We start from the raw sequence: 18,476 nt of genomic DNA, 5'->3' as shown, positions 1-18,476 counted from the left end.
TGATCAAGGCTCACTGCAGCTTCCACCTCCTGGGCTCAATTGATCCTCCTGCCTCAGCCTCCCGAGTAGCTGGGACTACAGGCACGTGCTACCACACCCAGTTACTTGTATTTTTGGTAGAGGCAGGGTTTCACCATGTTGGCCAGGCTGGTCTCAAATTCCTGGGCTCAAGCCTCAGCCTCCCAAAGTGCTGAGATTACAGGCATGAGCCACCGTGCCCAGCTGTATATCTTCTTTTAAAACAGACATCTTTCATGGGGAGACTCAGAAACGCTCTCAGTATGTGATGGGGTTAGTTACCCTCAGAGTAAGCAGTATCAGTCAGCCCAGCCTTGGTGCTCAGTGGGCTTTTCAGTTCAACGTTAATAGGAAGATACAGCTATGAAAAGGTAGCTTAAATTAAAATGAATTTTTGCCTTACCAATTTCTTTTTCAGTTTGCAGTTTTCTTTATAAACCAGTATGACGGCTCTCTTAAAAACTAAAGAAAGGAAAAGAGAAAGAAAGTCTTTATTTTATGCAAACTCTTCCAAGGTTAAACTAGAGCTGAACGTCTTAACAGAGTAACACTCTCCAAACGTATGAGTCTCTAAGACCTCACTCTGCCAACATGAGTGAATAAATGGTACTTCCCTTTCGCTCATATTTGAACTATGCAGAAGCACCTGCTTATTTAAAAGCTACTATTAGAAGTTGATCTTGGCTTTTTTAAACTCTTTGTTTTATTGAAAGCTGAGGACACTGTGTTCATCTCAGTGACAATATACTGTCACTTGTTCTCCCAACTCTCAGAATTAAAACATTTGAAATACAGCAGACTATTAAGATAGCAGGTTTCTGGCCAGGCACGGTGGCTAATGCCTGTAATCCCAGCACTCCAGGAGGCTGAGGCAGGTGGATCACCTGAGGTCAGGAGTTCGAGACCAGTCTGGCCAGCATGGTGAAACCCCATCTCTACTAAAAATACAAAAATCAGCCGGGCGTGGTGGCGAGCACCTGTAATCCCAGCTACTCAGGAGGCTTAGGCAGGGGAATAGCTTGAACCTGGGAGGTGGAGGTTGCAGTGAGCAGAGATCACACCATTGCACTCCAGCCTGGGCAACAAGAGCAAAACCTCGTCTCAGAAAAAGAAAAAGAAAAAGATAGCAGGTTTCAAAATAGCCGCAGGGATCTGTTCCTGTAACACTTGGCCTGAGCCAAGCAGCAGAAGGGAGAACAAGATAATGAGGATGCAGAGCGATGCCGGAGTTTCAAATAGTTGGGGGCTGGCCCTGTTAAGTCCCCAACCATTATAGCAATTCTGACTCCTGGAGCTCAGGAGTGAGCTGGACTGGTGCGGCTAGTGAAGTTCTTCCGTAATCCCAGCCTCTGTTCAGTCTGCATTCTTCTGAATGGAATACTAACCAAATACTGTGAGCTCAAGGTCCTTTCTAGCTTTTCCTAGAGACAGAAATGGATTCAACCAGGAAACCGTAGAGTGCATCAGAAGCTCTCCCATCGAAAGTTCTGTTACCTAGATTGTAAAAACAGGAGGTAAGGAAGATACGGAAATCCCAGGCTAGATGATCTCTTGTTAGATAGTGATGTACACACAGTCATTGCTAAAATGCAAGCACAGCTGGTTTAATTTTTATGATACCTGTAAACATGGGGCCTTAAACGGTGGAGCTTTTGAAAATATGAGTTAAGCACCCAAGTGTCTGATGAATAACATAAAGGTGAAGGCATTTTGCTCCAGTGCACGCACATGTAGGTGAGACATGCCTTGTGACCAACTCAGTTTCCATAAGATGAACTCTACCAGTGTCCGTGGTTCTTCCAGAGTGCCTTTTGTAAGCTTTCCCCTGGGATCTAGTACATCCATCACCTCTGAGCTCCATTCGGGCTGCTGATAAAAGAGCACCAGCATTGAAACTGGCCAGAGTGAAGGACTGATCTCCAGTCCTTTCCTGTTCCTGCCATTTTCTCCCTAAACTATGCTACTTCCTGCATGCTGGCTTGAGAAGCACAAGATTCTAAATTAAGCAATCAGATAAAAAGGAAAAATACAGAAAATGTCAAATCCTGCTTGGACTAGTTTTATAAGTAAGCAGGTAACCACCAATATTTGATGTTAAAAAAAAAAAAAAAAAAAGGCAAAATCAAAAAGGAAAAGCCCCAGACTCCACATGCCAGTTCCCATGTCCTTTCTCCACCCCACCCTCTGCCAGCTCTCACCCTCCATGGATGTTCCAGACAATGTGAACGTGACATAAGGTTATATTTTAAACCAGTGTAATGAATTTTATGATATGTCTATATGTAAATTGTGTAGTTCATTAGACACATTGTTATCAAGAAAAATCTTAGGCATTTTCTCCTCCAGGAAAGTCCTAACAGGGCAGCCTATCTAGAAGGTCACCTACAGACCCCACACCACATGCACTAGGCTCCCAGGGTGCAGATGTCTCACGGACCTCCTTCTCTGTTCCGCTCTGCTCAGCTACTAGCTGGTCAAACACGGTCCCATAATCCTCATAGATCTTCTGCATCTCATTGATGTGGCTCGCTACTTTCTCCATTGCCTTTAGTGCTTCTGCAAGATATGAAATCATATTTATTTCATAACTGTTATTTGTTTTAGATTCTATCCAACAGTAATAATGAATGGAGTCAAGATTCAACTCAGGATTCCAGACCAGTACCCACTAGCAGGAGCATTACATTCAGAATAAGTCACAACAGCCCACTGTAGCCCAGCCCTTAGAATGAAGAACAGCAAAATTATCTCCTACTTCAAATTCTTTTTGAAATGAGACAGAGTATCAGTGAAAAGTATCACTAATAACAACAACTGACATTTCTGGAGCACTTTCTACTTAGCAAGGATCACGACAGGTGATTTCTGTGAATCATCTCATTTAGTGCCCGCAATAACTCAAAGACTAAACCATCCCATTTTACAGATGAGAAAAGTGAGTGCAGGATATTCTGCCAGAGTTCCAGAGAGGAAAACACAAGAATGGAGCCAGGCTTCAAACCCAAGCCTGACTGGGCTTAGGGCACCAGCTCTCGAGTTTGGCTTGCCCTTCTGGGAACCCGGATCTAGGTTTAAATGGAACTTAAAAACACCCCAGTACATGACTGACTGACAGAACAATTGTTTGCATTTATATATGGTATATGTTCATAACTTTCCGCGAGGGAATATGAGAGATACATTATTTTATAAAAGCCAAAAAGCAAAATTTTAGGTCACTTCTAAATTCAGTATTCTTTATACTTTTTTTTCTCCCAATTCAGCATTTTAATTCTAACTGGAGGGAAGTTTGGAAGGAAGTTTTTTAAATCAAACCCTTCTAAAGATCATCTTAATACAAAATGAAGTTTTTACATAGTATGAATGCTGAACATAATTTGTATTATTTACTTATAGAAGTTAACTGTCATACAAAAATGCTTTCCTCTTGTTGATTTTGATACCAAAGTATGCTTGTCATGGAAAAAAAGCCAGTTTAATTTACGCTCTTCTCAGTATTTATTATTCAGTAATACTAAAGTGTTAATAAGCCTCTCTCTCCCCATAAATTTTATCACCTATGGTTTAATTGGACCTCCTAGTTTCAACATATGAACAAATCACTATCTCCAACCCAAATAAAGCCCCTCTTTAAGGATCCTCTATTTACTATCAAACTGCAAGGCTTTGTGTTTTTGATAAATTGTGTCTCAGGCCAGTAATTTCAGAGGTTCAAACAGTAACACACCAGTAGCGACTTGAAAGCATAACCCATCATTGGGAGTTTGGTTTTGAAGCCGAGCTCTGCTCAGAGATCTCCACAAGGTGGAGCCTCACCCAACAAATCTGACCAGCAGCTCGGGCAGCGAACCCCACAAAACTTAACCAAGTGGTAGGAAAATAGGCCTGATTTTCAGTTCCAGCGGCACTGTTTCACAGCCACGTGACCTGAGGTAATTTACTTATTTTGAGAGTGAAGACAGAATCATCCCTGCATAGGAGGAGTATGGCGCTACCCGGATGAGATCATTTCTACCCAAGTATTTTGTAAGCTCTAAAGGAGTGCCCAGACGCCTAGCTAGTTTCACATATTCACGTGAAACCTAAGATTAACCATCGCAGAACTGAAAAGTGACTTAGGACGTGCCACTAGGCGGGGAAGAGGTGAGCTGTCAGGCCCAGGGCACGGCTGGCAGCCCCTCGCCGCCCTGTGCAGGCCCTCGCCCGGAGGTGCCGCCGCCGCCTCACCCGTCAGGTGGTAGTGCTCCTCGCTCTCCTGGTCCGTCAGGGACACCAGCTCCTTGAGCAGCAGCGGGTACTTGAGCACTCTCTGAACCGGCTTGATGAGGTAGGACTCCAGCGTGGAGGAATGCTGCTTGGTGGGGTTCCGGGCGTCCAGAAAAGCCTTGAAGGCTTTGTCAGTTTTAGCTACAAGCAGATGGATAAAAGACCTCAGAAGAGCACAGTGGGGTGAATTAAATTCTTCATTTCTCTTTTAACATTTATAGATCATCTATTTCTATAGTCCTCCTAATGCCATTCTTTAATGAAAACCCCAACACATCAGTGGGTCAGGCACCCAGCTGTCAGCGTGGGATTCCGCCTCACAGCCCTGACAGAGCCCTGGAGTGCTGGGAGCTTCCGAGGATGGAATGCAGGCTGCGCCCCAAAGACTAACACTGACTCAAAATGCAGGAATGTCTGACTTTAAAGACACATTTCATGCATACCCATGAGAAATATTGTTATAGGTGGCCTAAAAAGTGAGTTTCAAACAATTCATTAAAAGCCATGAAGCGTGGCCAGGTGCGGTGGCTCACGCCCGTAATCCCAGCACTTTGGGAGGCTGAGGCGGGCAGATCACCTGAGGTCACGAGTTCGAGACCAGCCTGGCCAACATGGTGAAACCCGTCTCTACTAAAAATACAAAAATTCGCCGGGCGTGGTGGTGGGCGCCTCTAATCCCAGCTACTCAGGAGGCTGAGGGAGGAGAATCACCTGAACTCCTGAGGTGGAGGGTGCAGTGAGCCAAGATCGCGCCACTGCACTCCAGCCTAGGCAACAAAGTGAGACTCCATCTCAAAAAAAACAACATCAAAAAAGCCATTAAGCAATGTTATCCAGACCCTACACCATACCCACAAAAATTTCATAAAGGAAAATAAACCAGTGTTTTTCCCACTGGCCTCACTCTAGTTGTTGCTTATTTGTATTCTGTACACTTAAGGGTTATCTGGAAAGCAGTGTCTTTTCTCCTGTAAAGTAAGGTGACAGGCACCACAGCCTGCAGCCTACAGCCTTCACTCCACAGCTCCAAGCAGATTCACCTTTCGCATACCTAGAGCCACAGCTCCCTTCCAACAGGCATGGCAGTAGGACCCTCTCTGGCAGTGAAAACTGCCCCTTTGTCTGAGTGCCATGAAGGGTGTGTGTAGGAATCCAGGTGCATTTGGTTTGGGTACCAGCGGATACACCAGTGCTACTTGGATTCCACCAGTTGGCACTGGATGCCCAGTTGCTTGGAATGCAGCTACTCTGAAGGAAGATACACCCTTATTTGGGATTGTGTTGTAAGATCAAAATCTACAACATTCTAGGAGATGCAATACCATTTTGAATGTGATTACCAGGCCAAGTAGGTGGTGACAGGACCCCTCTTCTTTATGACAAAGGAGGAATGGAGCAAGCCATTGGTATGCTTTCACTGTACTGCACTGACTGTCAATATGTATTGACAAGTACATTGGTATGCTTTCACTGTACTACAGACTGTCAATACAAAGGTGCTTGTGGGCCAGGCGTGGTGGCTCATGCCTATAATCCCAGCACTTTGGGAGGCCTAGATAGGAGGATCACTTGAGGCCAGGAGCTTGAGACCAGCCTGGGCAACACAGTGAGACCCATTTCTACGAACATTTTTACATTTTTAAAATTAATTAATTAAATTTAATTAAAAAGAGGGTGTTTGTGGGAGGAAATGGCAACAGAGTTCAGCAACTGTCTAAAGCAACTGGAGAAGATGGATTTGGGCTGGGTCTTGCTCATTTGAAGCACTCTAAGACCCCACTTTTTAAATGTGGGGCTTTTCTTCTGGGATATCATGACGTTCTGGATTAAAATCCAATGGCAGAGCTGCATCCGTGGACATGAATGAGCACTAAGGGCGTCAGGATAAACCTCCAGATGCCCTCCAGGCCCACGCAGAGAGAAACACCGAAGAGCAACCTTTGGGAAATGTGAGCTCTTTCCAGTTGCACCAGAGAGACTTTACTTTCAGCTGACACACTTCTTGTGAGTTTCGTGGTAGGCTGTTGTGGCTCCTCAGGCTTAAGAAGATTAACAAGGAAAAAAAAAAAAACACCATAGCATGCATTTCTTTCTACTCCCATCTAGGGTTTGGGGTTGCAAGTTTTTAGAGAAAGGAATTTGGCAAGAAAAGAATCCAGATGTAACTGACAGCAAAGTGACACATGGCAAAGCAACATCTCTGCTCTTAGGCATACTTGTTCCCAGCTACTAATTAACTGACAGAAACAGAAACCTTTCCCTTTAATATTTGCCACTGTCAAGGTCAAGGATGGACCTTAATACATCAAAATTGTACTTACTCTCTACTTGTTAAATACAGATTTACCCTTTACTAACAGTTAAAAATGCAAAAAAAAAAAAAAACTATAAAAGGCATAAGCAACTTACCTCGCTCCAGAACCTTCTGTACTTTGATATGGTTAGCACAGAATCCACTGTACAGTTTAAAGTGGTCCGCGTAATAAAGGAAAGAGCCTCCAAGGGAAAACAGTAATTTCTAGAAGGGCAGAGGGGAAAGTCAAATCAGACATGGTTTAATCAATGCGTGCTGGCTTATGGCATTTGACGGCCCCATGGCTTCTGTCAGATTCCATAGCACTAATGCCTTGGAGAAGTTCAAACCTGCTCCATCCACACAGGAGGTGGGGAACAGCCCAGGCGCTCCCCTGGCAGGTATCTAGCTTGACTGCAAAGTTTCCAGCGGCAGAGCCTACTGACAGTGTGCAATCCAAGGACAAGAAACAAAGAAAGTTCTACAAAAATACAGCTGACAAGGTGGGATATAAACAATCTGAGAGAGGTTCACTAATAAAGCCGACTCTGCATTGCTTGGGGAGAGTGATGCTGTCTGTATGGTTCCAGGTCCCCTTGGAGGGGCTTCCTGCCACACTGCGGCTTACACGGATGCTATGGAGCACTGGTGCTTCATAGAAGAGAGGGCTTGAGCCCAGCAATTAGAAACCTATTCTCTTAATCCCAGATCCACATGACCACGGGGAAGAAGGATTGGGCACAGGGTAGGAGCTCTGGTTTCAGAAGCAACCACCTTGGATATCCTTCACAGCAGCTGAGAAAAGAGCACGTACGTGGTCAACAACCAGGCGGGAGGTGCTGCTGGACTTCTGACTACCAAAAGCACCTGCGCCAGGAAAAAAAAATATATACAGCCTTCCTTTACCACCTGACAGAGGAAAACGGTGCAAGGAAATAGTCACAGGACAATAAATAGTCAATAGTCACAGGACAAGAAATTCTTTCTCATGAGAGAATTCTCATGAGAGAAATACGTACCATAGCCACGTATTTTTACTTTAAGCCTAAATCTGAGATACTTACTCTAAACTGTGAGGGGGTTTCTAGGGTGTTAAAGTCAGATGATGCTGAAATCCCATCCTCCAGGGTCTCCAGAAACACCTTCTGAAACTCAAGCATCTCTGGCAAACTTCCAAAAAGTGACTCCATCTATGTGAAGATCAGGATTTGAAATGAGGGGATTAGCCATGAAGTTCAGGACACCACGCTAACTCTTAGGCCCACAAATAAATCACAAGGAAATTCTTCACGGAAAAGCAGACAGAAAGTAAATCCTTTAAGAAGACAGCACATTCATTATGGGATATGGCTTATACATAGAAAGTTTCACAGCTCCATCCCCCATAATTCTCTATTACTACAGTAAATTTTTAAGTGGATGTAAAATTCTCAGAATTCAAATTAAGAAAAATGTAAGTCAGTAGAACTAATTATGTGGTTTCACATTACAAAGGTATGTATTGAAAAGGAATTTCTGATCACACTCTCTTCTACCTCAAAAAGACCATAACCGTCCCTCTGCCTTTGTAAACACTCTGCCACTGGGTCATGCAGCCGAGGCCACAGCAGTGGTTTAGGAGGAGGCTATGCCTGGGACTCTCAGAAGACCGTTAAGTCTTGGGATGTTCTTTTGGGATCAACAGAGATACTCTCATAGGAGTTCTGCTAAAAGGCAAACAGAGACTAACCTGTGGATCACTGGACAGAAGGAAGGTGATTTTATTTACCTCATCTTGGGTAAGAAAGGTCTCATTCTGAAGTGGCTCCAAGTATAATTCAAAGAGGCAGCTCAAATCCTGAAAGAAAATAGAAGAAAGTGTCTTCAACGCTTTAGTCTCCAAAATACCCATGAGATTTGGGTAGCAGCAACCTGGCAGCAGCTCCCAAGGCTCCCATCAGGATAATGAAGTTTATGCCTTGTTGAAATTCTTTTTTTTTTTTTTTTTTTTTTTTTTTTTTTGAGACGGAGTCTTGCTCTGTCACCCAGGCTGGAGTGCAGTGGCATGATCTCAGCTCACTGCAACCTCTGCCTCCTGGGTTCAAGAGATTCCCCTGCCTCAGCCTCCCACATAGCTGGGACTACAGGTGTGCTCCACCACACTCAGCTAATTTTTGTATTTTTAGTAGGGGCAGGGTTTCACCATGTTGGTCAGGCTGGTCTCGAACTCCTGACCTCAGGTGATCCTCCTGCCTTGGCCTCCCAAAGTGCTAGCATTACAGGCGTGAGCCACCACACCCAGCCTTTGTTGAAATTCCTGACCCCAAAAGTAGTGATTATTGCTCACCTAATTCAAAGAGTTTAATATCACAATACAGGCAACAGCTGGATTCCACACCTTTACAGCTCGATCATTCCCTCTGCTTAGGTAAGTGTCTTGGTGACAGAAACACCCTTTCTTCAGGCCACTGCAGCAGGGGCACTCACTTCCCTGCAGAGGAAGGGCGTCTGGGTGGCACTGGTGTCAGGTGCACCCCAGCTCCTGGCCTCTTCTGCCTCAGGGAGCACAGTGAGAGGTCCAGCATGGAGCTGGGAGGGTCAAGTTCTGGGGAGCCCTTCAACTTTGGGGTTGACTGATTCACAGAATCTCAAACTCACATATTCAAAGGCAATAAAAAACTCCCACAGAGCTGCAGCTCTAATGGCTAAACTCTAAGCCATATTTGGCTGTCTTGCAAACGAGGTTCCAGCAGGACAGTATAGTGGGAGTAGACTGCAGTTACAAAACCCATGAGCGAAAGATTTTGTTTAATAATTTGAAGCCAAAGCCAGGCATGGTGTCTCATGCCTGTAATCCCAGCACTTTGGGAGGCAGAGGCGGGTGGATCACCTGAGGTCAGGAGTTCAAGACCAGCCAAGCCAACATGGTGAAACCCTGTTTCTACTAAAAAAAAGAAAAAAAAAAAATAGCTGGGTGTGGTGGCGGGTGCCTGTAGTCCCAGCTACTCAGGAAGCTGAGGCAGGAGAATCTCTTGAACTCAGGAGGTGGAGGTTGCAGTGAGCCAAGATCATGCCACTGCACTCCAGCCTGGGTGACAGAGCGAGACTCCATCTCCAAAATAATAATAATAATAATTTGAAGGCAAGACCAGGATATAGTTCAGTGATAGAAAAGATTTCTCTTTTATTCTGAAGAATTTTGAGTCCTAAAATACTAGAAGCAGTTGACTGCAAAGTCAGCTATAATAACTCCCTCACTTCCCAAGAGGGGAACCTAAGACCCAGAGCTTTATAAAGCCCAAAGCATCCCCAGAACTTTCTGGCCTTAGTTCAGAGAGCAAAAGGCAAGGCCTGTGACACGGATGCTTTCACCATAAAAACCTCCCTGGCCTTCCCTCACCATATTCCACGCCAGACCGCTCAGAGAAGGGAGATGATGGAAGTTACTGAATCATATCTCAGGGAACACATAGATGTCAAAAATTTCAAGGAGCATGCAGGGGATCCAGGTTAAAAAACAACAAGATTCTGTGTTAAACGTCAGCAACAAAAAAGAAATGAAGAAACGGTGGTGTGTGTGTGAATCACAACAGGTGCCAAGTGTGGGTTATTTTGTCCGAGGGTGTTGGGGCCTGGCAGTCATGCCTCACAGGCTGGTGCTGCCTGGGAGGACTTCCTGGACAGCAAAATCAGGTCCGCGCAGAGCTGCGGGGGGCAAAGGGCTGCAACCCAGGGGGGCCCTAAGAAAACAAAGTGCAGGTTTCTTGCAGAGAGAAGGGAGAGTCGGTCCTTGTCTACTTCACCCATGACACCATCTGAGTACTCTGCCAGCCTGTCACTGAAATGACCCTCCCAGTACAGCGTGGCCTAACAGGAAATTCTAACAACACTATTACCAAAAAGGGACATCGATTCTCCTCTCAACTCTGCCCTTAACTCTTGGGGCAAGAGCTCCATGACTATTCTCAAGATGTCAGAAGGGCTCTGAAGCTTCCAAAATATCTACAGCGCCACACAGCGACTTGGAAAAAGGTGACTGTGGAGATGGGATTATTCAGAACTTGAGTCTGAACAGCCTGGCTGTTCACTTCATCTCCACACCCTGGATGCAGGACAAGACATAATGGAAAATGAAACTAAACTGTCATCTCTCCTAACTTTCCTTTCTCCCCTCTGAGGCCAAAAGAAGGGGCTTTGGGAAGCTACCTGTGAATAGGGCCTTAGGTGAAGTCCTGGTAAAACAGCGACATCAACAAAAGGGGGAAGCTCAGATCTGTCTTGCAGAGCAAGGTAATAGCCGCACGTGTGTGCCAAGCCTTAATTCATGGACCCAGCACGTCAGAGTTGGAAGACATTTAGAGAAGGGGGACCGAGTGTCTCAGACCCCAAATAAGGGAGTTGAAGGGGGCCATCCACCATACAGCCAGAGGGAGGCAAAGCCGGGCCTGGACCCTCAGCCCACCGCACCGTGCCGCGCTGCTTCAGTAACTGACAAATGAAGCGAGCTTCAAATGGTACCAAAGCTCCAGGAAACAAAGCAAAAGAACTCTGCTCCCCAGGCTCCAGTATTCTTCATAAAATCTTTCTCAAACCACTGACTGGGGGCTTATGAGATGGATAAATGAATTCTTCGGGTACTCAAGATACTCGGCAACTGCCCCTTCATAATGGTGCAAGGATATTCCCACGTGCTGACCACTCCCCAGTGTGTGCGTCCCAGTTCTACACGATGACAACCACCAGGCAGGGCTGGCCCGGGCCACCGCCAAGACTGTGGGGCCTGGATCAGCCGTCACGTATGTACAGATTGTTCCCAAGTTCCTCATCACCTAAAGTGATCTCTCTCCCCTTATACTAAACCAGTACAGACTCCCTTCCCACAGATTGCAAATGACAAACCAGAACATCTGTTTCCATAGTGAAAGCTACCTTGGTAACAAAATAAGCCAAGGATCTAATTTTTTTCTGAGTCTCCTCAGCTCTTCCACCCTCTCACTCTTCCCCTCCCTTCCTTGAGCAATTCACTGATTCAAGGAGCAGGTGTCCCCCCCTGGGGAGTGGCAGGTGTCCTGGGCAGAGGTGATCTGGGGACCTCTGCCAGCATACCACTTGCCATCATCAAAGAGGCACGAATGCATAAATGCCAGCTCTTCCCTTACCTTCACGTAGGACTTCTCTGTGTCCACAAGCTCCTGGATGACTTTGCGGAGGCGGTCTGCATCAGACAGGTGGCGGGCCAGAGACCTCGGAGGAGGATCCTGATTCTCCCGCGGTCCTTCCATGCCGTTGGCCTGACTGTCGTTAAAACTCCTGCACAGTGCAGTGATCTGCTCAGCACTCTGAGAGAGGACAAGAGGTGGAAAATAATGCACGGGCCTCTCCCTGATAGTATCCGCTGCCCCCAAGGGCACCAAGTGTCTCCGTCTGTGCTCAGCAGGGATCTCAGAGGGGCCTCTGTGTAGGGCAAAGGGTTTCATTCACCTCAAACCCCTCTGGCTATCATTTCGGATCTGAGTAAGGAAGATGTGCGCCCACACTCATGTTCAGTGTTTACACACGAGGCTCTCCATTGTCACATCAGCTGTTAGATGTATCTTTGGACCTGAAATTACAGAGTCATTGCCTAGGGCTAACCCTCTGCAGTCAAGGTGAGGTAGCTCTGAAATCAAGAAGTTATGGCTTTCTAGGGAGCAACAAGAGCAGATGGCCTCAACAGGCCCACCCAGTCCCCTCAATGGTTGGCCTAATCCAGTTTTCCATCTCCCACACAGAACAGCCCGGAGAGACTCAAGAGAGGCACAGCCCAAGAGCAATTACAGGACGACCTGGCCACAGTGGGCCAGGAGTTCTGCCCTCCAGTCTAACCGCTCAGCTCCACAGTCTTGTGGCAAGTAGAATTATGAGTGAGAAACTCTTGAGCTGGTGCACATGCTAGTAATGGAGTAGAAGCAGATGAAGATGGTAACACCCTCACCCTAAAGGGGTGCAGAGCCCTGCAGAGCGCACAGGCAGGGAGCAGAGGACACATAAGGCCTGGCGAGGATGAGAGGCCAGGGATCAACCAGCCCCAGAGGAAACCTCTGCGAGGAGGGAGCTAAGCTGGTCTTAGCAGGGAGCCAGGGCCAGGCCTAGGGAATGTGGGCTCAGAGGAAATACTCGCTCCCAGTCATGGGAAAGGAATCACATAGATGAAGAGACAAGAAGGAACATGACCATCTGGGGGGACCACTGGCCTTTGGCACAAGCTCCTATTCAGACAGAAGCACCATGTGCTTCCGCCTTCTCAAAGACAGCCTATCTGTATCCACCAGACTTTGGCTGGAAAGCCTCACAGGTGAAACGCTTCCACAGTTGCTGGAGCAGGGTCAGATTACAAAGTGTCCTTTTACTTCTCATTCTTTCCATTCCACCCTCACATCTCCACCCCACTTCACCACCTCCCCATCTGGAAGCCCAGTGAGGGCAGGGTGGCTTCTTTCTTTCACATCTCCGCCAGCAGCCAGCTCACTGGCCAGCACAGGAGGTACTCGGCCCACCTCTGCTGCACTGAAATTCTTACTGAACAACGCAGCTGAGTCCCAACACAAATGACTGGCATCCATTAACAGCCAGCAACTTTCTGACTGTCAACTAAAAAACTCTCCTTTTTTCAGCTTAAATGCCTTCATGCCTGACCTCTATCCATCTCTGTCTTGGGTAAGAAGCTGAACTTCTCAGGAGCATCTCTTAATATTCACATAATTCATTTTCTTTCCTTGGATATTGCAGAAAGCTTACACAAGCATGTTGGTCAAACTTGGTAGCCTGATGCATGCTTTTTATACAGTCTGTCTCTTGACAAACTGAAGCACCCCAAAATAAAAAGAGGCCACTCTCAACTGCCCTCTCTGTTCTATGCCCCAACCCCCACCAACACAGTGTTGTCATATGATGGAAATATACAATCCACATTAAAACTCAACATTGATCTCTGGCTAGTCTTTCAGTTCAATTCAGTGGTCATCAATTGAGGGCCTGCTTTTCTCCAAAGAAGTAGAAACAGTTCCTACACAAAGAGGTAAGACTCACCAAGGCTGGAAACCCCAAAGCATAGCCTAAGGCAATCTGGAATCAACAAAGACTTCTGTGGAACAAATGAAGAGTTATAATAAACATTAAATGAATAGAGGCAGCATTTTAGAATCGGTTGTCCAGGAAGGCTTCGGTGAAAGGGTTGTAACATGTCCTGGAGGGAGCCTGCTCCAAGGGAGAACCAGAGAATGTGCCAAAGGTGCAGTGGGAAAAGGAGCCCAGTAACGTTCCAGGCCTACCTCAAGGGGCAAGTAAGGGTGAGACCCTAACAGATGTCTGCCATGGGAACTCCCAGATGGCTGAGCTCCTTCAGTAGAATCGCTTCTCTTTTGAGTCGGGGGCACTGCTGAAAACATAACTGAAAACGTGGAGGCAACTTCAGAGCTGGGTAACAGGCAGAGGTTGGAACAGTTTGGAGGGCTCAGAAGAAGACAGGAAAGTGTGGAAAAGTTTGGAACTTCCTAGAGACTTGTTGAATGGGTTTGACAAAGATGCTGATAGTGAAATGAATAATAAGGTCCAGGCTGAGGTGGTCTCAGATGGAGATGAGGAACTTGTTGGGAACTGGAGCAAAGCTGACCCTTGTTATGTTTTAGCCAACAGCTTGGCGGCATTTTGCCCCTGCCCTAGAGATCTGTGGAACTTTGAACTTGAGAGATGATTTAAGGTATCTGGGAGAAGAAATTTCTAAACAGCAAAGCATTCAAGATGTGACTTGAGTGCTGGTAAAGGCATTCAGCCTTATAGAGGAGGCAGAGCATAAAACTTTGGAAAATTTGTAGCCTGACAATGCAATAGCAAAGAAAATCCCATTTTCTGAAGAGAAATCTAAGCTGGCTGCAGACATTTGCATAAGTAAAGAGGGACTGAATGTTAATCCCCAAGACAATGATGAAAATGTCTCCAGGGCATGTCAGAGGTCTTGGCAGCCCTTCCCATCACAGGCCTGGAGGCCTAGGAGGAAAAAGTGGTTTCCTGGGCCAAGCCCAGGGTCCCCATGCTGTGTTCCGCCCAGGGAATTGGTGCCCTGAGTCCCAGCCACTCCAACCATGGCTGAAAGGAGCCAACACAGAGCTTGAGCCATGGCTTCAGAGGGTGCAAGTCTCAAGCCTTGACAGCTTCCATGTGGTGTTGAGCCTGCCAGTGCACATAAGTCCAAGAATTGGGGTTTCAGAACCTCCACCTAGATTTCAGAGAATGTATGGAAATGCCTGGATGTCCAGGCAGAAGTTTGCTGCAGGGGCAGGGCTCTCATGGAGAACCTCCACTAGGGCAGTGCAGAAGGGAAATGTGGGGTTGGAGCCCCACACAGAGTCCCTACTGGGGCACCGCCTAGTGGAGTTGTGAGAAGAGGGCCACCATCCTCCAGAGCCCAGATCCACTGACATCTTGCACCCTGTGCCTGGCAAAGCTGTAGATACTCAACACCAGCCTGTGAAGGCAGCCAGGAGGGAGGCTATATCCTTTAAAGCCACAGGGACAGAGCTACCCAAGACCATGAGAACCCACCTCTTGCATCAGTGTGACCTGGATGTGAGACATGGAGTCAAAGGAGATCATTTTGGAGCTTTAAGATTTCACTGTCCTGCTGGATTTCGGAATTGCATGGGGCCTGGAGCCCCTTTATTTTGGCCAATTTCTCCCATTTGGAATGGCTGTATTTACCCAATGCCTGTACCCCCATTGTATCTAGAAAGTAACTAACTTGCTTTTGATTTTACAGGCTCATAGGTGGAAGGGACTTGCCTTCTCTGGGATGAGATTTTAGACTGTAGACCTTTCAGTTAATGCTGAAATGAGTTGAGACTTTGGGGGACTGTTGGGAAGGCATGATTGGTTTTCAAATGTGAAGATATGAGATTTGGGAGGGGCCAGGGCAAAATGGTATGGTTTGGCTCTGTGTCCCCACCTAAATCCCATCTTGTAGCTCCCATAAATAATTCTCATGTATTGTGGGAGGGGCCCAGTGGGAGATGATTGAATCATGGGGGTGGGCCTTTCCCATGCTGTTCTTGTAATAGTGAATAGATCTCACAAGATCTGATGATTTTAAAAACAGGAGTTTCTCTGCACAAGCTCTCTTTGCCTGCTGCCATCCACGTAAGATATGACTTGCTCTTTTATTTTATTTTTTTGAGACAGAGTCTTGCTCTGTCACCCAGGCTGGAGTGCAGTGGCACGATCTCAGCTCACTGCAACCTCTGCCTCCCGGGTGCAAGCAATTCTCCTGCCTCAGCCTCCCAAGTAGCTGGGATTACAAGTGCCCACCACCACACCTGGCTAATTTTTGTATTTTTAGTAGAGATGGGGTTTTGCCATGTTGGCCAGGCTGGTCTTAAACTCCTGACCTCAGGTGATCTGCCCACCTCAGCCTCCCAAAGTGCTGGGATTACAGGCATGAGCCACCATGCCTGGCTGTCATGGGTGTTTCTTAAAAAAACTCCCCCAGGTGTTGCTAATGTGTGGCCTGCATGAGAACTGCTGGTCTACTCTTCATACAGCTCGCGTTCTGCTTGGATTTCTGGGAGTGGTGCTGGCTCCAGTGGGATCACCTGTCCCAGGGTCCCCACTGAGGTATGTGGACAGAGCTCACGGGCTACAGGAAATTGACGGAATCACAGCCATGACTCTGGTGTTCTGGTTGTGGCCTCCTATGAAGTGAGCTAAAATGTTCACGATGATAATACTCGGACTCCAAGACTCACTGATTTGAAATCTCTGTACTGGGATTTGCACCACAAGCTCAGACAATATAATTCTGCAGTCCTGAAAACTAACAGTTCCCAGGGCTATAGAATCTATATTAAGCTTGAATATACTGTATAAAATAAGATCTGATAAAATACATCATAAGTTAAATGGCATCTGGTGAGATTATGGCTTTGCTTCACTGGGATGTCAAAAATCACACCTAACAATGCAGTGTTAAAGTAACGAGATCTTACAAATAAAGTATCTTGCCATTTTAGAAAAACAGAATTCACTTTATGAACTTTTCTGGTAAGATTAACTCCCAAAAAGTGAATGTTAGCTGAGATTTTTCATAGCAGATTTACTTCTTAAAGTACCACAATTAAGTGTTCAAGTGCTAGAAAGCCACCTTTTGTACACTTAACATTTTAGCTGTTGTCTAAGGGAGTTGGTGAGGATTACTTGGGACCAAAAGGAGGCAGGGCCCCCAAAAGGAGAAGAGTAATTATAAGTGTGTCTTTTCAGATTGTAGCTGAAGGAGTCACTTGGGTGATTACATTTCAGTTCACCCACTGTTCGTGATGTTTACAAACATTAGAGGGACATTCTGGGTGAACCTGATCAGCACTTTATAGGAATAGTGATTATCTGGGCTGGGATATCTTCACATGCATATATGGTGATAGGCCTGAAAAGCACAGATGAGAGTCAGAAGGCCTGGGCTGCAGTCCAGGCTCAACCCCCAGCCTTCTGTGCACTCCTGGGCAAGTCTCGATTCTAAGTCTTCAGTGTCCTTCCTGATGAAAAGGCAGCAGGAATGCCTATTCCATCAAGTAACTGCTAAAATTGCCGTTTGGGTCAAGAAGAAAAGGAAACTCGTGTTTGCCGAGCAGCTGCTGTGCACAAGGCACAGTTGGGAGGTTTCTCACAGAACATGCCAGCATTGCAGCTTTACCATGACTCTCCAGGGCTTTCCAGCTGAGGGGCAAGGAGGCTTCAGCGAGACCTTAAATGGCACAGGGCCCGTTCCCCTCTCTAGCTCTGCTCCATCTCTAGCTCTGTTCCCCTCTCTAGCTGTGCTCTGTCTCTAGCTGTGCTCCATCTCTAGCTGTGCTCCGTCTCTAGCTCTGTTCCCCTCTCTAGCTGTCCGCACAGCCCCTGCCACTCCCAGGTATTTAGCAGAGCACAGGCAAAGCAATCTAGTTCCTCACGCCTCCTGCTGCCTCTGCCTCCCATGTGGTCAGGGCTCTCCTGGCCCCAGGTGTTCTAGGGATGCAGCCACCTGCCTCTGGAGACCACCTCTGCTTAGAGAGGCAGAAACAGCTCATATGCAGACAACTGGGACATCTATTGAGCCTATTCCACCCCCACCCCAGGAATGCTGCTTTAAAAGCAAAAGACTGGTCTGGCACAGTGGCTCATGCCTGTAATCCCAACACTTTAGGAGAATGAGGCAGGTGGATCACTTGAGCCCAGGAGTTCAAGACCAGCCTGAACAACATAAGGGAAACCCATCGCTACAAAAGATAAAAAAAAATTAGCCGGCCATGGTGGCACACGCCTATGGTCCCAGCTACTCAGAAGGCTAAGTCAGGAGGATGGCTTGAGCCCAGGAGGTCAAGACTATCCTGGACAACATAGGGAAACCCATCTTTACAAAAGATAAAAAGATTAGCTGGCTGTGGTGGCACATGCCTGTGGTCCCAGCCACTAACGATGCTGAGGCAGGAGTTCAAGGTTACAGTGAGTTATGATGACACCACTGAGTGACAGAGTGAGGCTCTATCTCTAAAAGTAAATAAATAAAAGCAAAAGACAGATGATCATAACTTAGGGCTGGGAGTGTGAGGATTCAGTGGCCTAACAGGATGTGCATATGCAGAATAAAAAACACGGGCACTTGAAATGGGGGCCTCAGATTGGTTTTTTCCAGTTTGTAGCAATCAATGCTACAAACTTGGGTCCATCACAGGCCTCAGCTTTCATAAAAGAGCATGAAACCAATATTTTCTTTAAGAAGTCATAAAAAGATTAAATAAAAACATTTTTTCCAAAAATTATGCTATCTGGAAAAGCAATGATATTGAACCCCAACCCCCCCCCAAAAAAAATTTTCTCTCAAATTGTTTTTGTTTTGTTTTTTTGAGACAGGGTCTCA

At 46.5% G+C, this 18,476-nt stretch overlaps 2 protein-coding genes across 9 annotated transcripts in view, besides 1 other annotated feature; one reads left to right on the top strand and one right to left on the bottom strand.

Annotated features, from left to right (window-relative positions):
* TIAM2 (TIAM Rac1 associated GEF 2) overlaps positions 1-18,476 on the bottom strand; it is a 262,409-nt gene that overhangs the window by 5,299 nt on the left and 238,634 nt on the right. For all 4 annotated transcript variants that reach the window (NM_012454.4, NM_001384546.1, NM_001384547.1 and 1 more), the window contains 8 exons: positions 11,716-11,895; positions 8,346-8,414; positions 7,642-7,767; positions 6,694-6,802; positions 4,246-4,425; positions 2,456-2,574; positions 1,404-1,512; positions 422-480 (listed from right to left, as the gene is read on the bottom strand). In NM_012454.4, the coding sequence (NP_036586.3) occupies positions 422-480; positions 1,404-1,512; positions 2,456-2,574; positions 4,246-4,425; positions 6,694-6,802; positions 7,642-7,767; positions 8,346-8,414; positions 11,716-11,895 (951 nt within the window). The remainder of the gene's footprint in view (positions 1-421; positions 481-1,403; positions 1,513-2,455; positions 2,575-4,245; positions 4,426-6,693; positions 6,803-7,641; positions 7,768-8,345; positions 8,415-11,715; positions 11,896-18,476) is intronic.
* Positions 1-18,476, top strand: part of TFB1M (transcription factor B1, mitochondrial) — an 84,614-nt gene that overhangs the window by 62,060 nt on the left and 4,078 nt on the right. Inside the window, exon 7 of one of the 5 annotated variants that reach the window (XM_011535871.3) lies at positions 4,506-5,192. The exons of 3 other annotated variants lie outside the window; for them this stretch is intronic. The gene's annotated coding sequence lies outside the window, so the exon portion shown is untranslated. Of the gene's footprint in view, positions 1-2,622; positions 5,193-18,476 lie in introns of those variants that run through there. One more of the 5 variants, XM_011535872.3, reaches the window with a different exon arrangement.
* Positions 4,395-5,090: an enhancer, noted in NCBI's record as "H3K27ac-H3K4me1 hESC enhancer chr6:155568469-155569164 (GRCh37/hg19 assembly coordinates)". NCBI's record gives its function as "activates a minimal SCP1, AML or CMV promoter by ChIP-STARR-seq in primed H9 embryonic stem cells {active_cell/tissue: H9 hESC(primed)}" and the evidence as "EXISTENCE:reporter gene assay evidence [ECO:0000049][PMID:30033119]".

The sequence above is a fragment of the Homo sapiens genome, chromosome 6 (assembly GCF_000001405.40).
Source record: "Homo sapiens chromosome 6, GRCh38.p14 Primary Assembly".
Classification (NCBI taxonomy): Eukaryota; Metazoa; Chordata; class Mammalia; order Primates; family Hominidae; genus Homo; species Homo sapiens.
Note: the sequence above shows the minus strand (reverse complement) of the source record. Positions and strands in the feature narration are given on the sequence as shown.